The sequence below is a fragment of the Homo sapiens genome, chromosome X (assembly GCF_000001405.40).
Source record: "Homo sapiens chromosome X, GRCh38.p14 Primary Assembly".
Lineage (NCBI taxonomy): Eukaryota > Metazoa > Chordata > Mammalia > Primates > Hominidae > Homo > Homo sapiens.
This window is the reverse complement of record NC_000023.11, coordinates 120,232,349-120,258,508: the sequence shown is the minus strand read 5'-3', so window position 1 is coordinate 120,258,508 and position 26,160 is coordinate 120,232,349. Positions and strand designations below refer to the sequence as shown.

At 39.1% G+C, this 26,160-nt stretch overlaps 2 protein-coding genes and 1 pseudogene across 4 annotated transcripts in view, besides 1 other annotated feature; 2 read left to right on the top strand and 1 right to left on the bottom strand.

Annotated features, from left to right (window-relative positions):
* TMEM255A (transmembrane protein 255A) overlaps window positions 1-7,076 on the top strand; it is a 60,029-nt gene extending 52,953 nt beyond the window's left edge. The window contains exon 10 of the mRNA XM_017029619.3: window positions 6,712-7,076. Coding sequence (XP_016885108.1) covers window positions 6,712-6,852 — 141 coding nt within the window. The 3' untranslated portion in view covers window positions 6,853-7,076. The remainder of the gene's footprint in view (window positions 1-6,711) is intronic.
* On the bottom strand, window positions 111-7,697 carry ZBTB33 (zinc finger and BTB domain containing 33). Of its 2 annotated transcripts, NM_001184742.2 has the most exons (3): window positions 7,532-7,697; window positions 5,739-5,840; window positions 111-5,095 (listed from the first exon to the last, which is right to left on the bottom strand). In NM_001184742.2, exon 3 carries the CDS (start codon window positions 5,091-5,093, stop codon window positions 3,075-3,077), a length of 2,019 nt encoding a protein of 672 aa, NP_001171671.1. In that variant the 5' UTR covers window positions 5,094-5,095; window positions 5,739-5,840; window positions 7,532-7,697; the 3' UTR covers window positions 111-3,074. The 2 variants fall into 2 exon arrangements, with proteins under 2 accessions (NP_001171671.1, NP_006768.1); NM_006777.4 differs by lacking the exon at window positions 5,739-5,840.
* Window positions 7,152-7,990: an enhancer, noted in NCBI's record as "H3K27ac hESC enhancer chrX:119384374-119385212 (GRCh37/hg19 assembly coordinates)". NCBI's record gives its function as "activates a minimal SCP1, AML or CMV promoter by ChIP-STARR-seq in naive H9 embryonic stem cells {active_cell/tissue: H9 hESC(naive)}" and the evidence as "EXISTENCE:reporter gene assay evidence [ECO:0000049][PMID:30033119]".
* Window positions 13,242-22,057, top strand: NKAPP1 (NFKB activating protein pseudogene 1; annotated as a pseudogene). The gene is made up of 3 exons (NR_027131.1): window positions 13,242-13,745; window positions 18,154-18,282; window positions 20,267-22,057. The product of NR_027131.1 is annotated as an NFKB activating protein pseudogene 1 (transcript).
* Window positions 22,058-26,160: the final 4,103 nt, after the last annotated feature.

The window sequence follows — 26,160 nt, the reverse complement described above, 5'->3', positions numbered from 1 at the left end:
CGTGCTGTCATCAGAAATACAGCCCCAGTCTCCTGCTATAAAAATTGAAAAACAATATAAAAACCCATATAATTTCTGAAAGACAATCTTGTAAAACACGCACTCAAACATCAGAATTAAATCATTTTATTTTTGCCACAAGAAGCTCTAAGAACTAATATCAGGCCATGGTTAATGAAAAGTAGAACTTAAAGTCATGACAGGGAAGATTGTACAAGTGTGAACATTACAGTACTCGGAGGAATGAACAAGGTTTCATATAGTTGACCAGCCAGAAAGCCAGTGCTGTTAAGTTAGCATTTAATTCTTTAGAATATGCATGCCTTGACAATACAAAATACCTTGATCAGTGTTTACCATTTTTTTATCTTTTTGGTACAATGGGGGAAAAATGCGGCATTATTTCTTCATAGTGGTTGTGTGTGGGGGATCGTTACCACCAAAATCATAATAATCATTTAAAGTATATTTTAAAGTTAGTCTCGCAAGATTGTTATGGCATTTTTAAATTTCTGTAGTTTAAGCATTTTCATTTTGTCATATCTTTTAACAAATTACTATTTCAAGTAGTTCCTATCCAGAATATTTACAGGTAATTTAGCATAGGAGCAAATTTGAAGCTAACTTCAAACAAGAAAAGGAAGTTCAATAGCCAGAGAGCTAAGTATAAGATAAAAAAACAATATGGTAATTTTAAACAGCATCTTGCTACAGATTTCCAATCCAATAAATACCAGGAATGAAGGACTTTTGCCCCAAAGAAGTATTTCACATGAATTCTGAACTTTGGATATGGAAACTTATAGAAAAACTGAAGACCCTGAGACACATGCAAGTAAGAGTCTTCTGGCAAAAATACAATTTAATTTTCCAGTTTCTCTCCTCCCAAAAACTCCAGAAGATACCTTTAGTAGGCACAGAGTTTAAATGTCATATTCAGAATTTACAGAGCACAGCAGCAGCAGCAAATAATTACATACCTATTATTCAGAATGGATAGTTTTCCATTATAGAATTAGTTCCTGGTTTGTCATAATAGACTTGTAGAATCTGCCAAGTTTTATTATGACAAACTAATTGACCTAGCAGTTGAGTCTGAAAGATCTGGAAGCTCTGCCGGCATCCGTATCATTCACATCGGTAGAAGTAATTATGTCTAACTGGTGAAATAGCATTAATGAAACTCAAAACAAATTTTCACTGAGTACATTTCAGAGTGCACACTATAGTCAAAGAGTAATGTTATTAATATCTACACAAAAAAGAAACATATGGTGATTCCAGAGATCACAGAGTCTTAAGTTATCAGGTAATTTCAAATTTCCCAGGGGTTAGTTTACAAATGGTTTGAAGGTCTAGACTTACAGAACAGAAAACAGATAAATGCACATCACTCTACCTCTTGGCAAGCAAAGGATTTTTTTTCTTGTATTATTGCATGAACTGATGCCTGATACCCTCAGCTACCAACTTAAGAAACACTGAAACCACTACCTTCAAATCCAGCTTACCATCAGAAGAACGATGTATACATGAGAAATTATGATTAAAGCTTTAAGTTCAAAGTCAAGAAATAGACTATATTTTAAAATACATGGTCAGGAGAAAGAAAATATCTATGTTGGACTAAGAAATACTTAAGCAAGGTTACAAATGACTAATAACTATGCACAACAATCTTTTCCAGTATCAATTTTTTCCTTTGCAAAAAAAAAAAAAATCATTTACAGACGTTCAACAATTCTGTTATAAATGCTAGGCTATATGTATGTTCCAACCTGTTTTCTTTTAGTACTAGCACAGTTTAGTACTAGCACTTCAGTAAGTGTTAACTTTATTTTCTAAGTGTTTAAATATGTGTCATTTTTAAAAGTGGTATTTATTGTTGTCAAGAAAAATGGGAACTGACAAGCCTATATAACATTCCTTATGTAGTTTCTGATTACTATAATATTGCAGCAATTTGCAGATGGAATAAAACTTATTTTAGAAGGGGTAAAAACCTAACAAATCTTGCCGAAAGGAAAATACTAGATCACTGATTCAACTATTTCAAATAAAGACTTCCTAGTGGAGATTCTACGCAATATGAACATTTAAAAATATATGCCAGTAGCCTCCCACCCAAAATATGTAAAGTCTCACCCATGGAATCTATCATTTACAAGGATTTATACATAAAGATACATTTGGTGGCTTTCAGATTCAAAATTTGAAAATTTTCATGTTCATGGGAATATTTTTAACCTTAAGAAGCCAAAAGGAAATCTTCATTCCATTCTCTACTATGTGGTAGCCAGAGAATTAAAAATCCATGCAACAGAACTTTTCATCTCCTCCTATCTGCCATTACAGAGATTGTTTTCATTAGTTTTTTGCCCCCAGAGACCACACTGCGAAGGTATAAAGTGGTCTAGCCACCAAAGTCTTTTACAGACTATGGCAATGAAAGCCAGGATTAATTCTAATTAGCTAAATCTAATTTGTTCTTCAGATGAGAGACTTGTCTGCATGGCTATTTTCATAGAGGGAGGGTAGCAGGAGGTTGCTGTTCGCTTGGACTAGCAGATTACACAACCCAAGTACTGACTTATTCTGACATTTTCCAGAACAACTCTAAAACTTATTTACTCTTTATGCCATATACAAGACAAAACACACATTTATTGTCTCAATGTTAAGAAAATTGAGAATTCAGCAGTAAAGTGCTAACATGGAAGGGGAAAGCTGTAAGATGTACTAGGGTATGCTAATAACTCCAGTTATTTTCAAAGAACATTCAGACTGCTTCAAATTCTATTCAGGAAACTATCTCTCCAAGCTTTTAATTTTTGCCTCTTTTAAATGAGCTGAAAACTAACTATATAAACAGATACTTGGGGAGGGGGTCTCACCTCTACTCAAAACTTTCAGGAAAATTTGCTTCTAAAAATTATCAACAAAAATCCCACTACACTTCCTTCAGATAATGTGGCAGATCAAATTAACTTGTTCGCACCTTAATTTGTTTTACAGATCTTCTGAAACCCCTGCCCCATCATCCAAAACAAAACTTTCTAGTATTTCAAAGGAGTTTAGTAAGACTCTGGTATTATAAATTCAAACTCAGTACTGCCATCTGTTACATTTTGTTTAAAAATTGAATCATTTTCCTGCTGAATAAAAATATCTTCCCAGGTCATTGGCTTGTTCTGAGTAGATGTAGTGGTCCCTACTGGAGGTTCTTTTCCAGTGTCAACCTTATACCCAATACCATCATCCTTCATTGCAGGAATAGTGCTTGATCTATCGGAAAGATATGCATATTGTCTGATTTGTAAAGACCTGCATGGATGTAAACGATAAAGCTTTGAGTCCCCAGAAGGATCTTGACTATGAACTGACTTTATATGTGAAGACATAAACTGATAGTTGATGAAAGATTTGCCACAGGCCAAACACTGATACCTTCGCTCCCCTGTGTGATGAATTTCATGCTTTGTGCGATATTCTGCAAGAGGAAATACCTTCTCACAGTAACGGCACGGATACTTCTTCTCCCAAGAATGAATGTTAAAATGTCTCCGCAAGCTTGTCAGACAGACATATGACCTTTTGCATACAATACAGATATAATAGACCCTTCCATCTACTATTAACTCATAGTGATCATCATGTTTTACTTTCATACGTTTGTTTGCCATCTCGCTGCCAGACGTTTTTGGTATTTCATTCTCAAGTCTGGCCTCCCCTTCATCAGGGTCATCTTTGACAGGGATCACTATATCATAAGTATCTTCACCGATATTTGCATAAACCTTGCAACCAGTCGATAAGCCTTCAATTTCAGTAGCTGTATCTAAAGTAATGATCTTCTGACCCTCCATTAGATGTTTTGATCCTACGCCTGGATCATTAGTATTTCTAGTAATTATATCTGAAATTTTTAAGGAATTGGAAAGTGGTTCTTGAAGAAGTGTAGGAATCTGCATCTTCTGTATTAATGATCCATCAAAACTGGTATTTTGGGAGGTATCAGCCTGTGGGACCAAAGATGTATTACTGACGGCCGAGTCAGGACTGGAGCTAATAGTGTCATCATCATCATCTATTATTTCCTCCTCCTCCTCTTCATTGGCCTTGTTTCCTGTTAAAATAGCACTGTTTGGTGTCTGCTGATTCTGCACAAGTAAATTGATTGAAGAGGGCATATGATTTGGAAGTGAAGAACTGACATTTGGTGGTGTAGAAAGTGGTGTCTGATTTAACAAAATAATATTGGGAGTCAGATGTGTTGGAGCTGAAGATACCAACAATTTTTCACTTCCTTGTGTTTGGCTCAAAGTTGCCTGATTCACAGGAGTAGGAAGTTTCTGAGTAGGTGTGATATTTGTTAAAGGGGGCGAGTTATTGCTAGCACTAGGTGCAACATCTGAAATAGCAACAGGGCCTGGGTTAGATTGGACCTGTGCCACTGTGTTATTACTCGGCAAAGTCTCCTTTGTGGGCAGAATCTCGGAGCAAAAAATGACATCATCATCATCATCATCAGAATCGGTAACAATGATCTTTTTCATTTCATAATCTTCGGCAGATAATGAAAAAGACTCTGTTATAATAGGCATTATAGTAGCCCCATTATCTTGGGCTTCATCTTTTGATTTCTGTATTACAAGGTTCTTGTCACCAGAATCAGGAGGTAAAGGCTCAGTATTACCATCCTGCGCTGTACCTGAGATGCTTTTAACCTGTGACAATGGGACACCAAGCTCTGCTATAAATTTCACTCCTAATAACTGCCCTGATTTAATTAACTCATCAAGCAAATCTGATCTAACACGAACAATTTTAGAACTATAGATATAATTGAGAATTTCTGCAAAGATCTCTGCTCTTATAAAGCTCAGTTCAACAACTTGCCCAGCAACAGAGAAGAGCTGATGGAAGTAGGTACTAGAAGCTGAAAGAATATTCTTGTGAGCCCGGAATTTTCGGTCTTCCACAATAACGGTAACATCACAGAAGAGTCCATGGCCACGTTGCTCATTCAAGGAGTTCAGCAGACTGCCAGAGTACTGAATGTCTGTAGCAGAAATCAGTTTTCTACTCTCCATGCCTTTAAGAGAAAGAGAGGAGGGGATGGGAGAGGATTAGAGAGAAAAAACAAAAGTACTTATTTAGAATTTAAGCAGTAGCATCATTAAATAGTTTATTCAAGTTTTAACCAAAGTTCAGCATAATTTTTTGGCTTTTACAGAAATTGTTCATACAGGTTGGCTTTTGGAACAAGTGTCCAATTTCATGGCTTGCTCCTGAGTTGAGCAAGTTTTACATTGTTACAGAGATTTGAACAGTAATCTCCATAGTCACCTTTTTTTGAATATTAGATACATGCACCTCCACTAAGTGATTTTTAAAGATTAGAATTAATTTTCTTAGTCCCAATTTTGGGTTTTCTCTCCAAGAAGAGGTAAGAGTTGACTTTTAACTGTCAAAATTAAGGAAAATCATCATGAACACACAGAAGTTATTTCGCCTGTAAATGATTGAAATGTCAGAAAAGCTCAGCGCGTGCAATACTGTGTCTGAAATACATACTCTTAATTTTAACTAATCTTTAAGAATATATGCAGAATCTACACCCTGGAGCCAATGACATTTATAAACACTGACAATTATTACCTCCCAACGTCCCATTATTTTTCTGTTATTTAAATTGGGGTGCCTCATCTTGATAAACTATTAAACATCTTTCTTACCCTTTCCTCTTTCTTCATCCCCTTGTCCCTTCCCCTCATCTCTCCATCTTTACAATTTCCAGAGGTGGAATGTTAAACAGTGCCAAGTGAAGTCAACAGACACTATCATGAAAAAATATGACAAAGGAAAAGGAAAGTTTACCATTTCTAAATGCCCACTTCCAAGAAAACACGAAACATTTTATTTTTGTTGGTAAAGAATCATATGCATTGGTATGAGAATTTTTTCCACACCAAATGAGTTAGTGAAAATGAAAACATTAACTTATTGGAATAGACTACTCTAGAAAAAGGGGATGATGTCAGTAGAATGCATTGTTGTGTAGCACTAGCAAAACATCATTTTTTGCACTTTGCAGAAGATATTTCCAGTAACAAAGAGGCCAGAGTTTAAAAAAACCCATATATTAAAAATATATAATATCCATACATATTATATATGGATATATTTTAATATATGGATATTATATATTAACAATTAGTTGACAAGTACTTTTAGTGAAGAAATATTTTTATTAATATTCTCTCCCTTTGAAGTTACCAAAAGGGTGTCGATGTCACAATGCTTAAGTTATATACAGGTGGAGGGCAGTTCTGTCTCAAATACCTTCTAAATTTTTCAAAATGATACCTTAAGAACAAACAGCAGGCAAAAAGTCTAAAAATCAAGATTTAAAACATTATTAGAAGGTGTTGCATGTTAACAGTACCAAGGAATTCCAGGTTACCATAAAGGCATTCATCATCAGAAAGGGTGACCTTTGGACAGTTTGCCAAAAACCAGGGCTTCCGAAATACGGGCATTTCGACAGAAGTCGATATTAAGTGGAAAGACAGGTTTTCTGAAAACGGCACGCAATTTTTGTCATTTGCTCCCGGGTTCTTCCAATATGGGAATGCGTCAAATGTACGTGTCCAGGTGACACTGGGACTCGGTTTCGTTTCGTTTATGTGTCCCCCTCCTCCCACTCAGGGTGGCCCCAGAGACAGCACAAGTCGGTCTGAACCCACTCCGAAGATATGCGATTCGACTGTGGAAAAGCCATTCCACATCACTGTGAAACCCTTGACCGAGGGCCAGTTCGGAGGAGCTGGTGACGGTGGAAAGAGATAAAAGCCATCCGCGAGGGAGTGAAACAAACCGACACGCGGCTCCCTGCGGCAGCTGAACCTCATCTCCCTTCCTCCACCTCCCTCTTCCCCATATGGACCCTGCCAGCTGCAACCGAGGTTTTTAACCCCAATTCACGTGCAAAGCAAGCTTCTTGCAAATACAGACGGAGGTACAAACAGCAGAGTGAGGGCGGGAGGAATATGGGGTACCAGGGAAAGTAGAAGGTGGCGAACGGCAGGGTGGGGTGTTGGGGGGGGGATGAAGCGAAGCAGGCGGCATTGTTGTGCCCCGGGAAGGGGACGGAAGGGGAGGATGGGCCTGGCAGAAAAGCTCTAAATCAAAGTAGGGGCTAGGGGAGTAAAAGAGGCACAAAAAAGCAGCGAGAGGGGCGAGGGAAAAGCCAAGTGGGTCTCTGTGATGGATTCCCCAAGCCCCGGGGCCTACCCAGGGCACCGGCAGCCCCTCGGCCCCTAACGGCGAAGGGGACCGCGCCGCGGCCCTCGCGGCTCGTCCCCTCCTTCGCTCCCCGGCCCACACAAAGAAAGAGCCGGAGGAGCTGAGCCTCCGACTCTGCCGCTTCCTGGTTCAAGTGAGGCGAATGCAAACGCAGGCGCGGCCCAGGGACGGAGAAGGCAAGCGCGCTCCTTCGCCCCCTCCCTGATTGGGGCCGGGTCCTCACCTGCTTCCCGGCGCCGCCGCTTCTCCTCCTCCGGACGCGCGGAAGGCTGGGAGTCCCCCAACAAGAAGAAGCCGCACTCCCCAGCGATTCTGCCCCTTCTTTAAACGTCGCTCCAGTCTGGGTCGACGTCGACGCGGCCGCCGCCTCCTGCCGCCAACGCTGCTACAGCTGCCCCACGCCGCCGACAGAGGGCACAGCGCGGGGGCGAAGCGCTGAAGCCAAAGGCGCCCTCCTCTTCCGAGCGCAGGCCGGGGTGGTCCGGAAGGGCCCGAGCTTGAGGCGGCTCCACTTCGGCGCCGTGCTCTGCCTTCGGTTCTTTCCGCAAGGGGGCGGAGGAAGACTGGGAAGCTCTTGTGTGTTCGGCTCTTTCCGGAGGGCTAACGGGTGGGAAAAAAGGAAAGGGAAAGATCGGGTAAGACAGTCGCAAGCAATTGGATGGAAGGGAAGCGAGTCGTTTTCATCGAAATTCAATGTGAACTTCTAGGGCATACAAACTTTTAGAGACTATACAGGTTTCATTTATTTTGCAAGTTTGAATCTGCTCTATTAGACTGTTTGCTAGATGATAAACCATCTTGAAATATAATCAAAATACATACAATCAAATAGAAATTCACAACTTCTTATGGTAATTCAAGTTCTGGGATAACAAGAGAGCAACTACATTACAGTAACTACTTTTAAGAAAGAAATTTAGTGTTTGGACAACTATCTTCTTAATTGAATACTAAATGGTGCAGTACTATGTTAATTCCCTCATTCCAACTAGCATTTACTGACCCCCTGCTTGATCTGTAGCAAAAACCCTATGTTAGGCTCTCGGGAATACAAAAATGAATAACCCAAAGGTCTCTACCTCTTTAGGGAGCTCAGTAGGTAGGTACACAAACATGGACAAAAATATTTGTACAAGGTGTAGAAGCAGAGAGAAGAGAATAGCAAATTGAATGCTGTCATTTGACCTGTATCTTGAAAGATTAATAATATTAACACTTGCATTTTTAATTTTTTATTGTTACTATTTTAATTTTTTATTATTACTATTTCCATAACATTTCATCTTCAGAGGGCTTTAGTGTCTGACACATAGTATGTGTTCAGTGATTGTTTAATGACCGAAAAAATACATTGTGAGTTACATAATTTTTTAAAATCCTCTGGTAATACCCTTCCAACTGAGTACCATAATAAATGAAGCAACAGGATGGGTGTTTGGAGAGCAAAATGTTTCCCTTTTAGGCTGGTTATTGATCGTATTCAACTAAGGAACCAAATAGTAACTTTTTTTCTGCCATAATTAAGGCCATTCACTACCTTCATTATCTTTTTAAAAAGATATATATAGGATAATACTGCATTCATTTCCAAAATCTTAAATTTGTACCTATTAATACCTTGCAGTGGAATTCCTGTGCTTCTTTCCTAAAAAATCTTGCTGAAAATGTCCATCAGGATATTAGACTGAAAACAGATGTAACTATATCTAATTTTCTCTGACAGGAAATCAGACATGGATGTCATCATCTCATCTACCTATCCCTAATCTATTCTTCATCCTCCTCAATAAAGTAAAGCCACATGGTATAATAAAACATCAAAGTGGTATAATATAGCTGTATTTCACATGGAAATATGCAATTCCTTAAGCTCTTCTCCAAGATTTTGTATTGTGGGAAAACAAACTATGTGGGAATTATTGCATTATTGATTTTTGATTAGGACTTAGCATTATGAAAAGTTTCATTGTTTACTATAAAGATATTTCATGGCAAATAGAAGTATGCTGTTGTAAAATAAACTAAGGCAGATTAGTATTTTTCCTGGCAACTGAGTACTTAATAACCATTTTTCTGAGTTATCCTCCCCAAAACTTAGTAGTAAAAAAAAAAATCTTAGTAATTAGAACAAAGTATATCTTGAAAGTTTAGGATCTATTTATCTTTCAGTGGCTTAATTGATGAAAACTAAAATGAGACATATCTTTGAAATACAGATCACAGTGGCAATAGATGCCACTCTAGATATCATGTTTGTTGGTCAGCTCTCAGTAAACTGGAAGGCACAATGCAATTTATTTTGTACCAGCATTTACATCACTGAGGCTGGCAACAGAATTGCCATGCCATTGTCACTTTCCTGAAAGTATTTTAAAAGTTTGGAGTACCAACTAACATATGATGAAACCTGTTCATTCAAAGCACAGTAAACCTTCTCTTCCCTTCTTGCTGTATCTCTCACCCCCTAACCAAGCAAAAACTAAACAAGTTTAAAAGCTACCTATAATGAAAGGGGGTCCAATGGTCAGGAAAGGAATTTTATTTGTAGGAAAGCAGAACAGACCAAGAAGCCTGAGTGGCCTTAATAATTGTCTTTGGGACAGGATCACTGGAAAGTTTAATTAATTTTCTGTTTCTCAACTAGTCATTTCACTTTTACTTTTGTTTTTAATCTGGAGGGCTTAACCCTACTTCAAACAACCCAGTAGTTTGAACTCTATTTCAAACAACAACAACTCACTTTGGGAGGCCGAGGTGGGAGGATCACCTGAGGTCAGAGAACAACCTATATCAAATGGATTTGGAGGTATCAATTGTTTCACATTCTAGAAAGGTTTTATTGGCTGAAAATGGGATGAGTTAGGTTTTATAGCCGTATTGTCAGCGTTTGCTTGCCTTTTGACCTTGATTGTGAATTCCATGAGGGCGGTAACTGTCCTCTCCTGTGTTAAAATGCCAACAATCTTGTGGGTGCTTAATATATATTAATTGATGACAAAAGATAAAGTGACACTCGTTCAGTCTTAGAGCACTTCCTATATGTTATGCTTATGGTTACAGATTTGGTAAGGTCACTCCATGGGATCTGCAGAAACCCTAGTAAGGTAGAGTGGAAGAAACAAAGTCTTAAGCAGAAGATGTGAGTGGGTTGGAATTCTGATACTGCCACTTCCTAGCTCTTTGATCTTATGCCTGATTCTTCATCTGTAAAATAGGGATAATAATACCTTCCCACAGAGTCACTTTGAGGATTAAATGAATCAACTATGCATAGTGTCAAACTGCTCACGGTTTCCAGAATATGCCATGCAATTTACTGCCTTCAAGTCTGAGCCTGGAGCCCTGAGCTTGGAATAGTCATTCCCTTCATAGCCACACCTCGCTTAACCTGTTGTCTGGTTAGTTCCTGGCAAGTGCCTGGTTTTCCATAAAAACCCAACTCAAGTACTAACTTATTTGTGAAGCATCCCTTGGCCCAACAAATTGTAGATAGAGATGGTTGCTTAATGCTGAACGAATGAGTGTCTGGAACCCAGTAAGTGCCAAATATATGTTGCTTTCTCACCACTATCCCCTTTTCTGCTTAATCCCAACAAATCTCTCTTTAAGTGACCTGTCTAATACTGCCTATTGCCCTTTTTTCTTAAAACTTTCCAAAGTCAATTGGATAGGGATATATAACTCTCCTACTGGAAAAGGAGTCGTCGATAATTGCTAACAATAATACAATCTACCAAAAAAAGCAACAGACAGCTTATTCCAAACTTGAACAAAATTGAGGGAATATACTACCTATGAGTCATTTGTGAAAATTACTTGGCAATATATGAAGTCAAATCAAATAAGAAATGAGTCCAAATAAAGAATTAAGAATGGAGATTTTGCAGTAAGCCAATCTATTTAAGTGGAAGACTAAGTCCAAACAACAGATTGATTATGACTATGTGACAATGAAACTTATAAAGCCCGACACTGTAAACTTCATTCATTTTTTCAATACATATTAAACATATATCATTTAGTATTTACTCTGTGCCAGGCAGTGTTGTAGGCAGTGTTGTAGGCACTGTGGATATAATTATCATCAAGTTGAGATATTGGTCTTCATGGAACTTACATTATAATGGAAGAGACATACAATCAACATTTGTATATATATAATATAAATATATAATACAAAAACAGAAAGTAGTAAGTGCTATGAAGAAAAATAGAGCAAAGGGATAGAGAATGATGAGGGTGTTATTGTAAATTGTGTGGTCAAGCACAGCCTCTCTGAAAAGATGATGTATGGCCAAAGAATGGAATGAACTAAGGGAAAGGGCCATATAAATATCTGGGGAAGAACATTTTAGGCAGTGGAATGTGTCATTGCCCTTCAACCAAAGACTACCAGAAACATACCCATAGTTGACAGATTGAGTTTATTACTCTTACTCCAGGGAGGGACAACACACACTATAGGTAACTATGATGTGTTTCAATAAGAAGTTGTTAGAATGAACCTATTATAGGATTTGGACAATTTGGGGGAAGGTCTAGGAATCAGGAGTTCCGTCTCAGATACATCAGAAAGCAGGGGCAATTGTATGATTGCACATTTCAATAAATCTTATTTATAGGGAGGGCAGACTAGAGGGAGGATAAAGCTGTACATTAACTGGCAAAGTAGCAGTGACCTATCTTGGCCAAGAAGGGGTGTTTGGTGTTTTCTGGGTGTCACAGTGAGCTTGTTTTTGTCTGTGCTTAGACAAGCTTATGAAGTGGTCTTGTTTTGTCTCACTTGATCAGGCTCCCAGTGATCTTGTCTTGGGTTGGTGTTCTGTGAGTTTATGTTCAACAAGAGAAGAACATGCCTAATTGTGAGTGCGAGGTCAGTTTGTGGATATCAGGGGCTGCTCCCACTTCCCTTTCTCAAACAGCAAGCGAAAAGCCTTAGAATATAAGGAACAAGGCCGGGCACGGTGGCTCATGCCTGTAATCCCAGCACTTTGGGAGGCCGAGGTGGGAGGATCACTTGAGGTCAGGAATTCGAGACCAGCCTGGCCAACGTGACCAAACCCCGTCTCTACTAAAAATACACAAATTAGCCGAGTGTGGTGGCGGGCACCTATAATCCCAGCTACTTGGGAGGCTGAGGCAGGAGAATCACTTGAACCCAGGAGGTGGAGGTTGCAGTGAGCTGAGATCGCGCCATTGCATTCCAGCCTGGGTGACAGAGTGAGACTCCATCTCAAAACAAAACAAAACAAGCAAACAAAAAAAGAATATAAGAAACAAATTTTAGAAGTAGTAGGAGAGGAAGAAGTACAACCGTGGCTATCACCTCATCTTTAATAGAAAGTAGTCACTTTCTACTGTATTATTGTATGGAACATACTTATACTAAAACATTATTCTTTATTTGAAATTCAAAGATAAGTGGCCTACTGTATATTTCTTTTTGCTATTAATAAATCTGACAACACTGAAATAAACACTTTCAGTTGTGTACGAAATACTTTGAATACTTTGTCCCTTTTCTTCCCATCTCAGATTTTTCTTTTAATTCAAATAGACTCCGAAAAAATATGTGAATCTGTTTGAGCCAGTCCTATTTATTATATATGTACATATATACACACATAACCAAATGTACATATTTTATACACACACACACGACACAGAGTGCGCCCAATATTATAGAACATGTAATACACACATTCACGGAAAGCACCCGTACACGAACAGAATTGTCTATGTTGTTGATATGGCCATTCTGTGAAATGTCTCCAGTGGACTCTCGTCCTGCCCTTCAGTTATTTCAAGTAGAAGCCTAAGGAAGACCTAGTCTCTGTGCGGATTTAGACCCTGGCGAGCCTCAATGCGGAACCAAAGGATGAGCGAAATCGGTTGCAGTAGCGGTTTATTTACACCAAGACACACACCTCTTCACCTTGGCCGGAGGCCACACAGACCTGGGGAAATGTTTTGCCAACGTACTCGCAATAGTTCCCATGGTTTCCTTTGCTCCCAGCGGTTGCGCGGGCTGGGTTTTTGGAGCAAAGGCAACGGATACTGCTGAGGCTCCTGAGAATGTCCCGTTTTCGAGGCTGCAGTAGCTCCGGTGTCCGGTTCTGCAGTGCCGAGAGGGAGGCCTCGGGCTCCGGGCGGGGGAATGTGTTGCAGTTTGTCCAAGAGCCCCAAGCCCAGCAAAGCCGCCCGTTCCCCGCTGGGGCGCAACTCTCACTGGAACTCTTGTTCTCTGACTGGGGAATGGAATGGGCTCAGCCAAGGCTCCCGAAACCAGCCCTGCCGCTCCCAGTTGTGGTCGCATTCTCAAGAGCGGCTGACTGCGCCGTGGACCATCACTTTCGCTTCTGCCTGCTCTTGCGCCTATTGCGGCAACTACTCACGCTCCTACGGGACGAGGAGAGGGAGGTGAATCCGTGGCAGAGGTGAGTGAGATCATGGCTGCACCTTCGCTCTAAGGAGCCCACTTGCCTTCAGCGAGTCCGCTTCATCTTTCAGCCCGCTTCTGACCATTTGCATTTCGCTCCTTCTACCTTCACCGCGCCCATTTTCATCCTTTTCTGCAATCTATCCACGACAGCTCCTTGTTCGCCCCTCTCCTCTCTCACATTCTCACTCATCCTTGGGCCCCTTTGTAGGGTGCCCCGGTCTCCCTCCACCCTCTTTCGCCTCTGATCTCGGAGCAGACACGGCTAAGGGTCACAGACCTACGTATAGCATTTATTTGTTTTGTGTTATCGTTCGTGAACATATTTTTATTCTCCACTAGACTGAGCTCGTGGAAAGGAGGACCCCTATTTTATTCATTACAGAATTTGCAGTGCCTGGCACTTAATAGGGGCTCAATCTACTGAAAGTGTTGTGTGTTGAGTGAATGATCGGTTTGAGATCCTAACAGGCTAACTAAGTGGAAATTCCTTGTAGGGAGTTGGAAAGGGTTGAGATTAAGGGTTTAAATTGGAAAGGAGAAATACCTTCCTCTGAGACAAGATAACTGGATGAATGTAGGCAAAGTGATGTGCTAAACTGCAGATGTGGCTACCTTCAGGAAGGTCTTAAGTGGTCTCAATCTTGACCTTGAAGAATGAGAGGAGAGTGAGATGAGTTTTCCTCTAATGAGAGTGAATATTGGAGTGGGAAGTAGATGGTTTGAGAAGGAAAATAATTATAATTATTGCTGTGTAAGTACTCATATCAAATGTTTATTGAATGTGTCAGGTACTATACTGAGTGCCTTACATGCACTACGGTTAAAAAATGAGAAATTTTAAAACATTACAGGTATTGAGGGGTAGGTTGAAATTCCAACAGGTGGGAGATGTCTTGATGAGTCTTTTTCTTCCACTAGTGGGATGTAATAAAGCATAGTGATGAGAAGGACAGCCTCTGGATTGAGACTTTCTGAGTTTGAAGCCTTGCTTTGCTACTTAATACCTATGTGACCTTGGTAACCTCTCCAAGCTTCATTATTTTTTCACCTGTAAAAGGGGGATACAAATAGTACTGACGTTTTTAGGGTTATTGTAATGATGTAGTGCCTTGAACGTAATAAGCATTTCACAGGTGTTGGTTATTAGAGTTTCATGCCTGGGAGCAGAGGAAGTAAAAACAGTCCTGAGTTAGGTTACAGATACACATTTTTTGCCCATGTGGGAGAGGTGAGTGAAACTACTGCACCTGTCCTCTGAGGAGCGCTCCTGCCTTTGGGATGGAAAGGTCCTCCCAGTTTGTGTCAATCAAAAAACTTCTTATTTTAGAATCCTAACCAAAACATATAAGAACAACTTGGGTAAAATTTGCATTTGTGCACATAGAAGATAAATAATTTATCTTAAGGCACAGATAAAACCAGGTAGCAGCAGGGAGTGTTATAATTGTCTGCTATTCACCATGTTGATGAGGGAAGGATTCCCACCCTTTGTGTTATGGAGTAGCTGAACACAGGACAGATGAGATCAACAGCAGTTTATTAATCACATATGTTCACAGCTGGAATGGGAGAGAACACAGCGTGCCACGAAGGGCCACACCGAGGTTGCTGTTGGTAAGACAGTGAATAATCAGGGGCTGTGGGAGGTAGACTTTGTGGTATCAAGAAATTGAGGTAATACCTGCTTTCCCTTGGAAGGATATGATTGGCTTGTTTGAATAATTCCACAAGCTGACAATGTACTAAAATCTGCTACCCAGAGATAAGCTGGAACTGCGTCTGGTCTCTTTGAGAAGGAGGGTCATTTGGCTAGGGGACCTTATTTGCAGGAGCAGAATGGAGAGGAGAATTCGCAGTAAGGCCATTGGGAGCCCTCCTGGTTTCCCCAATTGTCAAGGTAGTACACAATATTGGGCCTTAATTTTGTGCCTCACACCACAAAGACTGTGTGTCTTTATAGTCTGGCAGGCATCCTTGGTCCCTATACTCATATTCCAAGAACTGTTAGACGTATGTTTACTTTTTGATTACCTGCTCTTGAAATGGGAAACCCTCTGAGACTAACTCTGTATACTTATAATACCTTTTCCCTGAATAAAGAAGTAAAAAATATTTATTCAAACAATGAAATCAAACATTTATTTTATAAGGATTTTTATAGACGTAAGCAGCTAAACTTTGAGGAAATTGAACCTCTCTTAGTTTATTTTTTTCAGCTTATGAGTAACAGCAAAAATTAAAACAATAAATGACAAACATTATAATACAATAAAAAATTAGTGTCCTCCAAAGAACAGATAGGTAAGGTACTCTTTTTTAAAAAGGAACTAAAGGGAGTCTAACATACCTAAGAATTAAAACATGTTGCTAGTGCATTTTAGCATGCTAATTGTTTTCTTTAAATTGTATTCATGGGGTGCTAATTTCCTATTAATAGAGGAGTTCAGTGTTAAAACAGATAATACATTTATATTTTGATTTTTTTCTTCAACCCAGGAGCAGATTGCATTCCAGACAATAGTATTACACAGCGATTTTTAAAAAATGCAGATGCCAGTGTAGTTCGGTTTAGTTAATTTTCCTGTATCCAATACTATGTGAAATATTAGTACTTTTTTTTTTTTGCTTATTTCTTTTCTCTTTGGTGTTGCTCATAAGTTTCTTCTTCCCTCTCCTCTATTTCTGTGTTTAGGTTGAGTTGAGGCAATGTGTTTCACAGGTAAACCTGTAATTTGTGACAAGGTGATAAAACATTATTATCTGAAGTGTATTCTTATAGATACCCTTGGTAAATGCTTAAAGGACCTGAACTCATAGAATTAGAGTCAGAAGGAACCCTAAAAATAATTTTCTAGGCAATACCTAAATTATTGCAGATGTGATCTTCAAAGGGAAAGATTATATAATATAGAAAGTCCCTTTCTAAAGTATTGTAGAACTTTATTTATTGATTTATTTGCTTTCTTTCTCTTTCTTTCTGATGCGGGGTCTCACTCTGTCACCCAGGCTAGAGTGCAGTGGCACGATCATGGCTCACTGCAGCCTTGACCTTCCCAGCTCAAGTGATCCTCCTGCCCCAGCCTCTCGAGTAGCTGGGAATACAGGTGCACACCACTACACCCAGCTAATTTTTAAATTTTTTGTGCAGAAGGGTCTCACTATGTTGCCCAGGCTGGTCTTGAATTCCTGGGCTCAAGCTGTTCTTGTGCTTTGGCCTCCCAAAGTGCTGAGATTATAAGTATGAGCCACCACGCCAAGCCTACTGTAGAACTTTAATAATACTTATTTTAAGAATTCTCTGCAACAAAACAAATACACACACACACACACACACACACACACACACACACACACAATTTTTTACCGTGACATAGCCTCAGGTCCTGAGAACATGTGTCCCCCAAATCTCTTTAGATTGTAGCTTCTTAGGATCTTCTTGCTCTGAGGAGACAGAACAGTTGCTGCTCTACCATTTGTTTTTTACATGCTTAGAATAAAATTATGATATCTTCTTCAGACTTTTTATATACAGTTTCTTTCATCTTTCCTTCTGATTCTGTTTTCTCTATTTTTAGCCTGTGATTTCTTCTGAAAATATAAATCCTCCATGCTGCTTTCAGTTTGAGTAGTGCTTTGTAATCTGTAAAGCATTGTGCAAATGTAAGTTATTTTATTATTATGAAGGTGGCAGACCCTTGAACTGTATTTATTTATTTTTTATTTTATTTTATTTTTAGGCAGTCTTGCTCTGTCACCCAGGCTGGAGTGCAATGGCATGATCATGGCTCACTGCAGCCTTGACATCCCAGGCTCAAGTGATCCTCCCATCTCAGCCTCCTGAGTAACTGGGACTACAAGAAAGCACCACCATACCTGGCTAATGTTTTAAATTTTTTGTATAGATGGGGTCTTGCTATTTTGCCTAGGCTGGTCTTGAACTCTGGGGCTCAAGTGATCCTCCCACCTTGGCTTCCCAAAGTGCCGGGATTACAGACATGAACTGTATTCTTATGAAAGAAGTCCAATGCTTGTTTTTAATGGTTCTTGGACAATTGTCATTGTTGCTGAAAAGTTTTAAGTCTGTGTTTTTATACTCTATGGTCCATATTTCATCACTTTTCTAATTCTTATAACCATTTTCTTTAAATTCAGCTCTGCTGAACATATTGAAGTAAAGAATGAAGAGCCAAAGAAATGCACTACTTCAGTTTCTACATCAGAAAGTATTTTTAAGATACAGACCTTTCTTGAGAAGTTAGAAAAAGTTTATAAATAGTTAAACATTAGACTTTACTTTTATTCAAATTGCCTATCATCTATTCCTTTTCAGTATTTCAAATGCAATAAAATTGATAATCAGAAATACTTTTTTAGAAGTTACTTTTTTATTTATATTTTTACAGAAAAATAGTAGTCTAGTCATTCAAGTGAAAGGTCCAAGAAAGGAAGAAAGAAAAATTTATCAAAAAGAAAACACAAGAAGTATTCTGAAGATAGCGACAGTGACTCTGATTCTGAAACAGACTCCAGTGGTAAGAAAGCCAACAGCATTCTGCAAGCCTTGCTTCAAAACTAGTTTTATTTCTTAAAACTTATTTTAGAAGAAGGTTCCTGAAAACACTAATAATACTGAAGAGTTTTTGAACGCTTGCTAACCTTGTGCCAGGCATTCCCCATAAGTGCTTTATATTCATTATTACCATCTAATCCATAAATAACTGTTGGGTACATCTTATAGATGAGGAAATGGAGACAGAGCAGATTATAAGTACTGTCCCCAAGGTCATACAGTTGGGATTCAAACCTAAGCAATCTGACTCCAGATTGGTTGTGCATAGTTGTACAAAGCACATGGCACCAGACCAAGTCAGGGGATTGGGCTGTACCAAAGTAAGCCTTACAGGGCTGCATCAGCCCAGTGGAAGGGCTCATTTGTGTAATTCTCGTGCCCAGTGGGCACTGCTGTACAGTTTTCAAAAAGGCACTCCCTTTAGACTGGCTGCCAATTTATGGAAGGCACCCCATCTGGGGTAGTGCATCACAAAAAGCCACCTTTTTTACGCCCTCTCCTGTCTAATGATTGACCAGAGGGTGCTTTCTCTTGGTTGGCATATTCCACAAAGGCTCTGCTTCCTCTGATATTGCCCCAGTTTCCTGGTCCCCAATGTCACTTTACTTCCTTGCCACTGGAAAACCAAACTTTCTTAAAGCACACATCTAAGCATGTCAGTGCCATACTCAAAATCCTTCAGTAGTTCTCCATAGCCCTCAGGGTAAAGTTCAGACCCTGACTGATCCTTCTCTAATCACATATACCCTGTCACTTTTTGTTGCACCATACTCTGTGGCCTGAAAACTTTTTTTCTTTCTTCCTTTCTTTCTTTCCTTCTTTCTTTCTTCTCTTCTCTTCTCTTTCTTTTCTTTTCTTTCGTGCCTGCCTGCCTGCCTGCCTTCTTCTTTCTTTCTTTTTCCTTTTCTTTCTTTTTTTTTTCAGGGCCTCCCTCTGTCACCCAGGCTGAAGGGCAGTGGCTCGATCTCTGCTCACTGCAACCTCCACCTCCAGGGTTCCAGTGATTCTCCTGCCTCAGCCTTCCGAGTAGCTGTGACCACAGGCATGCGCAACCATGCCCAGCTATTAAAAAAAAAAAAAATTGTAGAGATGAGGTCATGCTGTGTTGCCTAGGCTAGAACTGCTTTCTGTCTCCTCAGTATTCCATGTTCTTTCTCTTGACTCTATTGCTTGGTAGAGAGGCCCTCTGCCTACAATACCAGTCTCTTCTTCCAACAAGCTTGGCTTACTCATTGCAACAATGGATTTTGTAATCAAATAACTACTCTCAGAGCCACCTTTCTTGGTCAACCATTCCTCAACCCCCCTCCTCAAATCAGTTCTGATTTTGAGACTCCTCTGTGTGTCCAGAGCACCTCAAGCTTCCTTATGTCACTCTGGATTGTATCAATCTCTTTACCTATTTGTCTCCTCCATTAGACTGAGCTCCTAGAAAGCATTCTCCTTCCCCACTCCAACACACACATAGTTTTCTTTCCCTTTTTATCATGGAAATCTTCAAATGTTCAGAAAAGTAAAGGGAATAGTATAATTAATACTATATACCTTAGTACTCAGGTTTAACATTTGTTAGCATTTTGACATGTTTGCTTCAAATATGGATTTTTCACTAAGGTATTCAAAGTAAATTACAAATGTCATCACATTTCACTACAAAATATTTCTGTGTATCTCTTTAAAATGATATTTTCCTACTTAACCATAATACCATTAACTTATGAAAAAATTAACATTAATTTCTTATATCATATAATACCTAATGTGACTTTAATAATATATATATCCCCAGTGCCTAGCACAGTTCTTGACAAATAGTAATAAATGTTTGAATGAATAAATTTCTCTGTAACAACAAATGAGAAACAGCAAAAGCATATTTATTTACTCAAAAGTATTGAGGTTTTAGAGGTAACTTTTTAAAAATTATAATGTGTTTTAATTTGCAGATGAAGACACAAAAATGAGAGCAAAGACAGCTAAGAAAAAGGAAAAGAAATGCAGATGGCCAGATTTTTTCCTTTAATTTTTATTATGGAAAAGGTCAAATGTGTATAAACATACATAGAATGGTATAATGATCCCTCAGGCACGTAGCACCCAGCTTGAACAATTAACAACTTGTGGGAAATTGCCATTGCCCCCTAATTAATTTGAAACCAATCCCAGGTATAATGTCATTTATAAACAATTCAGCATGTTTCTCTAAAAGACTGTTTTCTTTATTAGTCTGTTTTCACACACCATAAAGACATACTTGAGACTGAGTAATTTATAAAGAAAAGAGGTATTGATTCATAGTTCTGTATGGCTTGGGAGGCCTCAGGAAATTTACAATCATGGCGGAAGCCAAAGGGGAAGCAAGGCACATCTGACATGGGAGCAGAAGAGAGAGTGAGAAGGGGGAAGCACCAGACACTTTACAGATAACCAGTTCTCATGAAAACTCACTCAGTATCATGACAACAGCATGGGGGAAACCCATCCATCCAATTACCTCCCACCAGACCCCTCCCTCCACATGTGGGGATTATAATACAAGATGAGATTTGGGTGGGGACAGAGCCAAACCATATCAGATACACGTTCTTTTTCTAAAAACATAACTACAATACCATTATCATGCCTAAAAAAATTAACAATAACTCCTCAACTCTCATCACACTCCATTTTTAAATTTTTGTTGTTTTCTAGCCTAGCAGTTTCACATGAGGAAGACAGCATAAAGAAAGCCAAGGTCTGACTGCTTCTTTTTGATGATCAATTAATCTAGAATATTAATCAGGGAACTACCTCCTCCCTCTTGCTTCTAGCAGCACTAAACAAAAGGTTCCCTTTTTGTGTTTTTATCATCAGGAACCAGGGTCCTTTCAAGGAGGTTGAATGAGACAAAATACATTTGAATGCATGATTGTCAGCTTCTGAGCTGGGGAATATGCAACAATATGCCTTCTGGGCTGGGGATGGGTGAGCAAAGGGAGAACTGCCTCATTCTGGCTTTGGTAGAGTCTCCTCTTGTGTTTCATTTGATGCAGAGGAACTTTGGGCCAGAATGATTCCTATTTCCCTATGTCCTCCACAGAAAGGGAGGATAGTGAACAGAATTTGCAATATACTAGATAGATGTTTGGCTGCCACCTTCCCATAAAGCCCTATGAGTAGCTTCTTCGGAAGATTCCTTTAGACTACAGGGTTGTGTCTAAGCTCTTCAGCATAAATGGAGATGGGCCCTGTCTTGAAACACACTGTTCTTTTACTAGGGACTTTCCCCACCCCCATTTTGCATATGTATGTATGTGAGCCGTACAGGGCGTATTGGTGATTGAGGAATGTCAGCTCATAAAATGAGGCTTCCTTGTAATTCTGTTTAAATGACTTTTCCTTTGAAATTCTTATCCATACCTTATTTGGCACACAAAACAGATATACAGTTGACCCTTGAACAACACAGGTTAGAGCTGCATATGTCCACTTATATGTGGATTTTTTTTCAATAAATAGAATTGGCCCCCCATATCCACAGGTTTCACACCTGCAACCAAATGCAGATCAAAAATACAGTATTCGTGGGATGCAAAACCTGCAGATAGGTAAGGCCAACTTTTTGTATACTTGGATTCTGCAGGTTCAAGTGTGGGGCTTGAGTATGCATGGATTTTGGTATCTGCAGGGGTCCTGGGAACCAATGTTTACAAGGAATTCACAACTTTTTTTAAATAAAAAATGTGCCTTATAAAAAATGGTGCACTGACTTTTTTGTTTATTTAGTTCATTTAACAGACATTTGGTGAACTGCACTTGAGGATGTGCCATGCAGAATTTGAATCTGGCAGAAAAACATTTTGGAAAAATTTGTAAAAAACAGACCTAAGAAAATGGAGACTACAAATGAATGCTGATGACAGGGGCCTATACCAGGCCAAACAAAGTCAGGGCAAAGCAAGGCATAGACAGAGGAGGCAAGGACAGCATGGGAAGCCTGGATATTCTAGGCTGCAGTGGCACTACAAGAACCCAACTCCAACTGGGCTCCAGAACAAGGATGGCATTATAGAGCCCATCCAAGATTATGATGACAGATCGATGGCAATGGGTGACATATATCTAAAATCTAAAGCCTTCTGATATCTTCTCTACTTGATCTTCCTAATCTTAAACCAAACCTTCAGGGGGAGAAGGAGAATTGGTTCAGTATATTTAATAGTTCATATCTTAATAGAAAAATATAACATGCAAATCTATGTGCTATTGAAATTTTAAACCACAGTGGGAGAGACTATTATGTTATTACTAAAATATCTTAGGAAAGTTAACACTGCAAGCCTTCCCTTCAGCTCACCCTTAGTGAGCGTGGACTATTTGCCAAGCTCTGGACTAGGCCTCTGGCTTTGTTTTGTAAACCAAAAAGTATCTGAGACAGGTCTCAATCAATTTAGAAAATTTATCTTGCCAAGGTTAAGTATGCACCTGTGACGCAGCCTCAGGAGGTCCTCACGACATGTGCCCAAGGTGGTTGGGGCACAGCTTGGTTTTATACCTTTTAGGGAGACATGAGACCGATCAATATATGTAAGATACACATTGGTTTGGTCCGAAAAGGCGGGACAACTCGAAGTGGGGAGGGGGCCTCCAGGTCATAGGTAGAGACAAATGGTTGCATTCTTTTGAGTTTCTGATTAGTCTTTCACTGAATACACGATTTACAGGAATATTCACTTATCCCTTAGTCTGGCTTAGTCAAACAATAGGGCAAAGAAAGCAATCAGATAGGCATTTGTCTCACGTGAGGAGAGGGATGACTTTAAATTCTGTCTGTTCACAAGGAATTTCCTTGTGAGCAAATTGTGAGGGAGGTATATAGCTTTGTAAAAAATCTTTGTAGTTATCTTATTTAGGAATAGAACAGGAGGCAGGTTTGTCCTGCCCAGCTTGACTTTTCCCAGCTTGACTTTTCCCTTTGGCTTAGTGATTTTGGGGTCGCGAGATTTTTTTTTTTTTTTTTTTTTTACATTTCCCCCCTTTTAAAAATCCTTCAGAGAAAGCATTTTAGAAGAAAATGAGTCCTTTGGTCTTAGGTTTGTCTGATCTCTCATGGCTAGGATGCTTTATTCCTACATGATTAGGTCCCATGTTATTAGGAAAGCTCATGTTTAGCAGGTTGTGAAGTTTCATGTCCTATGAAGAGAAAACGGGGAGGAAGGGAGAAAGGCAACAACAAACAAGAACAATCCTGGAAAATCTATATAGGCCATATTACTCTGAAGTCCATGCATGAGTAGGCAGTTATGAAAGTGGTTGATGTATGTAAATAGGTTGCTGTTATTTTCTTCTGAAGTTGTCTAGCTTCAGTTTGCAGGGCTTGAAGAAAGCACAGCTTAATTTTTAGTGATTTTAAATGAGGAAAAATGGGGAAGAAGGGAAAGGAAAGAAGGACAATTTGAAAACATTATTTTGGAGACTTGTAGCCAGGAAAAAATTAGAATTCAGTCTAAACTATAGAAAATAATAAAAATTGAAAAACACTAGGCAAACTAGAATCTAACAGGTATGCTATAGTTTATTTGGAAACATATTTTTTTCTCTCTCCAGTCCCGTTTTCACTAAAGACAAATCATAGGACAAATTCATTGGCAAAATAAGTTTTAGTCTTATGGCTGCAGTATTTGCATAAAGTCAGCAAAAATAATTATTTGCCATATAGTCTTCTCTTTTTTTAAAATTGGCTTTGCTGGAACTTTATTCTATAAGGAATCTCAGATTCAACTTTAATGCCTTAAGCCCAGCCTGTGCCTGCAAATACTTGTATTAATTGGGTGAATTCCTCACCTCAAGGTCCCCAGAAAACTTGGGTCTCCTGGGCCTGTCAGAAAGTGGCATTCTTTACTTACCACGTGTTAGGAGACTGTACAGGGACTGTGTAGATAAGGTATGAGGATAGCTTTTACAAGGGGCTTTTTTTGGCCCTGTAAGTCAACTTTGATTTCTTAAAGGAGACTATATCTGAAAGTATGTTATTCCTGTCAATACCTTGGTAAAATAACCAGTTTTTTCCATTTGTATCCTGTTACAAAAGAAAACAGATTCTTATTGCACTTATGCAACTAACTATGTTGCTATAAGTTAAGTATACATGCAACTAGTTTCCAAATTTTGGAGAGATCAGGTAGAGAGAAATATGCACTAAATTTTGTTTATAGGAGTATACTTAAGTGTTAAAAGCTGTAAATAGCTCAAAAGAAAAGTTTTCTTGGCTCTGAAAAACAAAGGATGAGCAACATTTTGAGCAAAAGTCATAATTATTTCAGTCTTCTATTAGTTCAGTCTATGTAGTTAACTCCTGTTCTGCTTGATAATCATAAACATTTCAGCTCTCCATGGGAGCCTTGGAGGTTTTTCCTCTATTCTAGTGTCACAATGTCCAAAGTTATCAAAAGTGTGCATTCAAGAGCACCTGTCAGAGTCCTATGCTGATTATAAAACCACCTTTTGAAAAGGATGAAAGTGGCCAGGCGCGGTGGCTCACGTCTGTAATCCCAGCACTTTGGGAGGCCGAGGCAGGTGGATCACAAGGTCAGGAAATCAAGACCATCCTGGCTAACATGGTGAAACCCTGTCTCTACTAAAAATACAAAAAAAAAAAAAATTAGCCGGGCGTGGTGGTGGGCGCCTGTAGTCCCAGCTACTCAGGAGGCTGAGGCAGGAGAATGGCGTGAACCCGGGAGGTGGAGCTTGCAGTGAGCCGAGATCGTGCCACTGCACTCCAGCCTGGGCAACAGAGTGAGACTCCCTCTCAAAAAAAAAAAAAAAGATGAAAGTAAAATAACTGTGGATGAAAAAATCTTAGAACAGTCATAGTTAAAGAGACAATTGACAAGGAAATTTGGTTACTTCTATGGCATACAACAATTTAACATAATAATCACAATTACCACCGATAACATGCTATAAGACACATCAGAATCACAGGAATTTCATATAATTCTGGAACACATACTAATAACACATTTATATAAATCCAAAGAAAGTTAAACACTTTCATATTTAACAATACTTCTGTATGGTTTTATTATATCAAATAAGCCAAAGATGTCTCTTTTGGACTTCAGGAGACTAATATCAAAAAATTAATGAGGTCTGAAGTTAAAATTTGATTTTGAAAAGTTTGTCAAACATAAAGAGTTTAAAACACATGATATCACAAAATAGGATCACAGGTCATTGTAAAATAAGTCATTCATTTAGCCAAAGTAATAACTCGATTTTTTAAAAAAGTTAAAAACTTTTATTCTTTGAGACAGGAGACTTAATTTCCAAAACAATAAGTCCTAATAAAGATGGCATGAGGCCCAATTAAATTTGTTTTTCAAAATTTTATAAACCTATAAAATTTTAATCATCTTGACTATAAGATATAATTTTCCTAAGTCTTTTTTATAACCTTTATAACCTTTTATTAAGGAGTGGGTGAATGCTTCAAGAAAACCTTGTTAATCTAACACAGGGACCCATATGCTGGTCTTACATCAGTGTGCCTTTGACATTAATGGTCAAAATCGGCCCTTATAATCTCACACATCCACCTCTCTCATGATAGTCCCTGGGCCTTGAGGAGTTGAATAGCTTTAATTTCTGGCCTGTGTCTCATGCATGCAGTTTATTTTGATTGACATCTTCTACCAGCTCCGAAGATGAGGCTTTAACGGCTGTTAGTGTTTAAGATTTAGCAGGACTTGGTCCTTTTTAGACCCTTTTTAGACCCAGGAGTCAAAGCCCCGTAACTTAATAGCACAAGGACTTTAAAAGCACATACAGAAAGTTTCATGGATGTAATACCCTCAATTAA